This window comes from Homo sapiens, chromosome 3 (assembly GCF_000001405.40).
Source record: "Homo sapiens chromosome 3, GRCh38.p14 Primary Assembly".
Taxonomy (NCBI): Eukaryota; Metazoa; Chordata; class Mammalia; order Primates; family Hominidae; genus Homo; species Homo sapiens.
The window spans coordinates 147,758,924-147,766,614 of NC_000003.12; positions in this window are offsets into that span (position 1 = coordinate 147,758,924).

The window sequence follows — 7,691 nt, forward strand, 5'->3', positions numbered from 1 at the left end:
GAACACTGTTGATGAAACATTGAGTTACAAATTGGATGATGTTACACTTGGCAACTTGGATAAGAGTCAGGCTGAGAAGCCAAGACTATAAAACAAATACTCACCCTAGTGATGTGTGGTATCCAAAATAAACGTATTATGCAGTTGCCTCCGAATAACTGCTCCAATGCTGTAATATTCTAGGTCACATTATGTCAGGTCCATTTATTCTCATGTATACATTTGGTGTTTTCAAAATGGGAGATATCAACATGAAAAAATGGGGAAAATGTCATTTTATAAAGATGAAGTTAAGAATTAGTTTAATAATTTCAAAAAATCATCTTATTTTAAAGCATAGCATTTTGATTTATAAGCTGCAGCATGGAACCTCTTCATAGTCCTGACAGCTTTGACTCAATTTTCCTATATCTGAATAACTATAAACTATATTTGCTTGTTTACCCTTGTCCTGTCTTCTACCTTTCTCTTCTTTATTGATCTTTTCTTACATTTTTACTTGCCAATTATTTCTGTCTCCTTTTTTCCACCCTTCCTTCCCCAGAGCCCAGATTAGAAGTTGGCTGCCTTTAGATGGAGGGATTCATTTGGATACTATTTTCCTCTTTAAGGGGCTTGGATTTTTTATGTTACAAATTGCATAGCTTTGTGGCCATATAGAAAATGTTACTTTTGAGATTATTGTAATGAATCTGTAAATACTAGTGATTTGATTTATTCAGAGATAAGTAGATTAGGGACTCTACCTTTTTTATTGCTGAAAATGTGCCCAAACTTGACCTATTTTCTGTTACTAAAATACAGAAGGGAAGACACTGTATCATTCAATCATTTTAATGCTTTGAACCATGGAAAAAAATATAAAAGGCTACCCCTGCTCCCCATTTGTCTTTTCATTTTGATTAATAAATACATGATATTCTAACATACTGAGGAAGAAAGTGGAGTGAAGATAGGACATGCACACAGCTGTAGACAGGAGAAAACTATACTGCCCTTGCTTAGGAGCTTTATATAATCCATCAACCAGCTCTGCAAATCCTTGCCACAGAGCGTCTCTCAGCACGACATTTTCCTGTTCATTGGACCAGCAACCCTCACTAAGGTCCAAACCACCTAACACTCTGTTATCCATCAAAGCCTCCTTACTGGTCTCCCTGCCTTCATACTCTCCCCTCACCACTTCATACACCTGAAAGGGAGTGAAGTCTGAACTACCATCCTTAAATTCATTCTTGGACACTCCGAAGACCAGAATTTCATATTTACTTACTGAACTGTCAGGGTTGGAAGAACTAGCAGAACTAGCTGAAGGATTATAGAACCATCAACAGCAAGAACAGTATCTTCTTTCTCTTGTCCACAGCTGTGTAAATGGTTTATCCTTTACTTGTTTTCATTCTTCAGACCCTTGTGACACTGCACATTCATCCTGCTGAAGTGAAACAATGAATTGGGGTGGGAGTTGGTTGGGGTTGTTTGGGATGTGGGGAAAGGCCAAAGAGTAGTGCAAATAAAAGCAGTAAAGGAGTAGAGCAAAGAGGTTTACCATATAAGAAAAAAAATTCTGTTAAAGTTTTTTTTTTCTGGGAATGATAAGCACTGAGAAGATCAACATTCATATTTAATTATAAGCACGTCATATTGGTCACAAAAGACTCAGAATTATATTTGGCAGTATTTTATTAATAAGTCATTCATATTACTCTCTATCTTGAAAGAAAAATAATTTAAAATATAATGAGTTTTTCCTTTATTTTGGAATATACTTTCTACCGTTCATTTTAAATCAGTGAACTTTCACTCCAAGTTTGCTTCCCATTCTCCAGAGTGCCATTAATCTTCAAATGGAGCAATTTCAAACCACAATTTTATTATTATTATTAAAAGAATTCAGTAACTTCCAATTTTATTACAAATAGGACTAAAATGAAAATGCTTACTTGGTAGCTTTTTGTTTGATTCTCAACACAGTTTTCAGAAACCAGAACCATACAATTCCCTGTCTGGTACAGTGAGCAACAGTTTGTATCTGCTTAGCTGGTGTTTGTATGCTCAGTTAACCAGCCCTTGTATGTTCTGTCTCTTCTAAGGGCTGTGGAAATTTAAATACGGTAAATGCTCTGTGACAGTGCTGCTGTTGTTTAGTCAATTCATTTCCTTGAGTAGAAGATCAGTTCACAATTACTTCAGGGCAGTCCATACAGGCCATCTTAGCTGGCCATTAATTAAGCAATAAGACATGACAGGCAATGTATTTCTGGGCCATTTAACGTATCTCTTGAGGGATTTTTAAAGCCAGAGGCTAAAGGTCAAGTGACTTTAGACTTTAACCACTTGAGAAGTTCACTGCCAGGAATTTTCCATTACCACAGGGGAAATCTGAATATGAATTATTGAAACTAAGAAACACAAGACTTTGTTAGTTTATAATTGGGAGATCAAGCCAAAATTTTTAAAAATAAATTTACAGAGTGCCATATGTTGTACCATAATCTGCCATGTATTATCTCATCTAATTTTTCCAACAATCTTGTGAAGTGTTCATTATCCCCATTATACAGTAAAAGCACATGAAACTCAGAGAAATTTGATAGCTAAAATCCTTTGCACTATGGTTTAGAATTCTGAAATTAAATAATTATTAAATTACAAGCTCTTGAGTTAGCCAGACTTAAAGCATTGTTCTCTCCCACCCAAACTCTAGTTTCTTGGAATAAGAGCAAAGATTAATTTAGAAAACATGGCTGTGCCATGGGCTATTGGGAAACCGCTTCTCTAGACTTTATGGCTCCTTTGAGTGAGTCGTACAAAAATTAATAATAACATCGTTTATTAGTAATTGACTGCTTAAATGTAACAGAAACTTTTGGGCTTTACTGGAAAATATTTAAGATTTCTCAAGAAACTGCCCCACAACTCAGAGATTCTTTCTTGACAACATTGTCATTTTTATGTACCTTATTCCATCTCTCTTGGCCCAGATACTCATTGTCTACGTTTGCCTCCTAAATGCCCACTTTTGCTTTATATATAAGCATACTCTCTATTAATTTCTTACTGTGAAAAGAGCATGGTACGCTCTTGGCCAGGTACGGTGACTCATGCCTATAATCCCAGAACTTTGGGAGGATGAGGCAGGTGGATCACCTGAGGTCAGGAGTTTGAGACCAGCCTGACCAACATGGAGAAAACTCGTCTCAACTAAAAATACAAAATTAGCCTGGTATGGTGGCACATGCCTGTAATCCCAGCTACTCGGGAGGCTTAGGCAGGAGAATCACTTGAATCCGGGAGGCAGAGGTTGCGGTGAGCCGAGATCACGCCATTGCACTCCAGCCTGGGCAACAAGAGCAAAACTCTGTCTCAAAAAAAAAAAAAAAAAGAACATGGTGTGCTCTCTAACATTAGGATAATATTCTTTAAGTTATTTCTGTCCCCACGCATAATGTTCAGGATGCACCTAAATTCTACTTATCTTTTTTTTTTAACTTTACTTATTCCTACCTCTCCCTGTTCATTGATTTTAGTAGAGATACCCTGACAAGCAGACACCTAACTTTTTATTATATTCCATGTGCTTAGACACATATGTAAAGTAAATAATTATTTTATTAGCTAAATTGATATATAAATAACTTTATAAAATCCAAAACCAGCACAGAAAATTCTTTAATACTAACGAATTTAACTTTATCCAGCTTTTTTTCAGCTTCCTGAACTTACCTTCACTTCTAATGTACTCAGAGTATTAACTAGATTTTATTTTTTGTTTTTATTGAAGCAGTTTCTTGTCAGTTTCCATAATAAAATATTATTTTTGTTCTGTCTAATGACTTCACTCACCAATTTATTCAATATTTATTGAAGATTGACTATTCTTCTATTTTTTTCATATTATCAAAGTTAGAGCATTAGCAGAAATCAATCCAACTTCAGTGGCTTCATACTTAGTTAAAATTGTTCCCTGATTTTAATTCTACATCATGTCTGTTTAGTTTCCAAAATTGTAAGATTTTGGTGTGTGTGTGTGTGTGTGTGTGTGTGAGTGTGTATGTGTGTCCACACATACATTTGACATTTCTTGTCATCTCCATTGACTAAAATCAAAGAAAATCCTTGGAAATCTGACCATGTACACTTTGTCATTTAAATCTAAGCCGATTTAAATCTAGGTCAATTTAGTTGAAACAATAATTGAGGCTCTCTTGAGCTCTTGTTCAGAAATTTTGCTTTGAAATGTTGTTGAAGGGAGTAGCTCTTTCCACAGGACATGCATTTGTGAGGATGTGTGCAATGCCAGAGCTACTGGAAGCTTTCTTGTGGGGCTAACAGGGGTGCCTATCTGAGAGAAAAGCCAACGTAAAGAGAAGAGGACCTGAGAGGCAGAGAGAAGGAGATGGACTTCTGAAGTCATCCTTTGCACTTTGAGATTCACTTTTGCCCCCATACCGGTTACTATCAGTTGTGTGAAACAACATTGACTCTGTCCACACCCTTTCTTTCAACCAGTTTGAGCTTTTAAATTTTATTTCATTGTTTTTCAGCTGAAACTAATATGATACTGAGAAGATGTTTGTAAAATTTTTGGTATAGTGTGGATAAATTATAGGTCTCAAATACATTACTTTCTGTAAAATCTATTACTACCTAAAATATTGACCGAGTACTCAGATTTATTCTGCAAGAAACACATTTTACTTTTGAAAGTACTTTTTATATGTTCGTATAATCCACATTTTTGAATCTTGGCCTATATTTGCAATCATTTAGCCTCTAGTTAGGTCCCAGAGAATTATGTACGGTGAAGCTGGTGAAAAAGACTTTTTCAACATTTAATATTATTCTATCTTCAATGATGTTCCCAGGGAGAGTGATATAAATTACCCCAAATATGTTGAACCTAGATCAACTATAGCTCTCCAAATATAAATTTATTGCAGAAGTAGACTTCTAGCAGTTTCCTCAGGGTTCTTTTATAAGGTGGATTAGGTAGAATGTTTACCACATGTCTGTCATGGTTTCACTACTGAGGAAGACTTTCAGCAGTCAAATTAGAGTATCTTATAAAACTGTACTCAGTAAAGTCTTCTTGTGGAAATCTCAGACAAAAGTGTTCTTATGATGAACTATGTGAGTGCTACTTCTTGCTTAAGTGAAGTTCCATGAAGACCATGCATTTTGAGGTCCAACATTGAGGCCATACTTCAAGGAATATTTTATTAATCTTTTTCTAGGCATCTGGGGTCCGTGCAAGAATTAAGCTTTTATCTTTAGAATGCTTTTTCAGACCATTGCCAGGAAGACCTGATCTGCTATATTACTGCAGATGGCTGTCTCTAATACACCAGTAGTTATTAAAGGCTCAAATAATGGGTTCTTAGATTTTTCCCCAATTTTTCCCTTTTTATTTGTAAAAGGCTTCTGTAAGAATTACTGTACATGCACAAAAAGGCCCCATTTAGAAAATAGTGTGTGAATTCCCATTCTGTACAGTAATGGTCCATATAACTGTATTAAGTCAGTTCCTTTAATAGGGAGAGTGCCTTTTTAGTTTGTGAGAAATCTGCCCCTGCTGAGATTTGAACCAGGTACCCTTGGATCTAAAAGCATTTGCTTTACTCTTTAGATAAAGTGAAATCTTCTTAAGGTGGGGGTGGGGTAGTTCTCTTTGACTTTGGAGACATATCTTTGACAATTTTATTTTTCTTTCTGAATTACTTTCTCAGTCTCTTTCCTCTACTCTTTGTTTTATCTGTTCTAGGGTGCTTTTTTTTCCATTTGATCCTTTGGCTAGCACTGGTCTTTAACAATATGAATAAAAACCTCTGTATCTAAGACCAGCATTTAATACTTAACTATGGCAACATTGTTAAATAATCAATAAATACCAGATTTCAGGATTGAACTGCAGAGTCTCTAATAACTCCTAGCTCTAAGAATTGATAAATCTAAGTTATTTGTGTCATTTTTAAAAAATGATTTTTTTTTTGCTTGGAGGAAAAATACTTGAATTGGATGCTCTTTGTGTATTGTTTGATGAAGACCATTCTGCCAACAAGTCTTCTTGAATCTGCTTCTTAAAAATACATTGTGGTAATTAAATAAAAATTAATTTCCTGTATACTCTTAGAGTCTCATTATATATCCACTAGCTAAATTCTAATGGATGTGCAATTTGTGATGTAATATTCCATCATTCTTTGCAAACTTTATCATATTCTGTAAGATTTAACGAAAGAATTATAAACACTTGTGAGCTTTTATAAGATGAACTTGTTCTATACTCAAACGTGGATTGTCTTCCACGTGTTTTCTAAACAAAACAGTGTAGGATGGGATAATAAGCTACAATATTACAATAACCAGGGTGATTTTTCCTCCTCCTTTGTCCATTCAGATTACAGTAGCCACAGGAAACAAGGGTTTAGATCTTTAGTTCCCATTATTTCATCATTAAGCACGTCTGAAATGCTCACGATATGCCAGGTGCTTTACGGAACATAAAAAGACTTATTCTTACATAGGATAAAAAAGTTTATTCAAGTATAACATTAGACACATTGTAATTACTCCCACTGGAAACATAGTATAGCAAAAAAGGTTTTCGGTACAAAAAAGGAAATTTAACAAGGCATGTTTTCTTTTTATTGCAATTCCAGCCCTAATTCTTCACCCATAGCTCTCTGAGGCCAAACATAACAATCTAGATCTGGATTTGGTAATTTACTCAAGATTAGAATGTAACAAAAATTTATTATGTAATAGGACCTTTGAAAAACATGGAAGCTTGTATGAGTTCTTTCTTAGACAGTCAATTGTAATTCAGCCCTAAATTCCTGAAGTCACCTTGCATTTGCCCTTGAATTGAGTCTTCAGTAATAGCTACAACTTTGAAGTTATCAAAGGTGACCTGAAATCAGGCTGAGCACACTGGAGAATCTTTGTGTCATAGAGTAATGTCAGTTCTGTACTAGATCAGGAGATAAAACCAGAAAACCAATGCTGTTTATTTACCCACAATCTGTTTAGTGCCAGACCTAGTTAACTACACAACATGTATATGAAAGTTCGGCAAAATGCTTGCAACAGAGCTATCATTCAATAAATATTTGTGGAACAAAGAAAGTTTCAAGAACTGTGATAAGAAAAGATAAATCATAATCTCTGACCACAAGAAAATGAAATTATCATTTGAAAACCAATTAGATTTATAATTGGGAAGTGCAGGGTCTCAATTTCTGTTTCCCTGACCTAGCTTTTACACACTATAAAATGTTAAAAATAGGGTTTTTTTCAAGACTAATATTAGGCATTTTTAAGCTTCAAGAGCAGTAAGAAGTTTCTACTGAACCCTCCCCCAGATGATTTCTCCCTTCTCAACTGTTCTCTGGAAAAAAAAATTAAGAGATAGTTCACAGTTTTAGTGTTAAAGATGAAGGGCTTACATGCTTTGTTTCACTAATTGGAAAAGTCAAGATAAAAAGGCTTTCTAGACTCTTTCTTGTTTCTCTGGGACATGGATATTAGAAAGCAGGAAGTCATCAGGTGCATGAAGAAGGTAAAATAAATATCATTGAAATGATGCTGGAATGCAGAAAAAGATCATTGGATTTTAAACTTCTTACTTCTGCTTTAAAAAGAAATGTAAATGTTGTATACCGCAATTTCAAAAATTCTGGTTGTTTTTA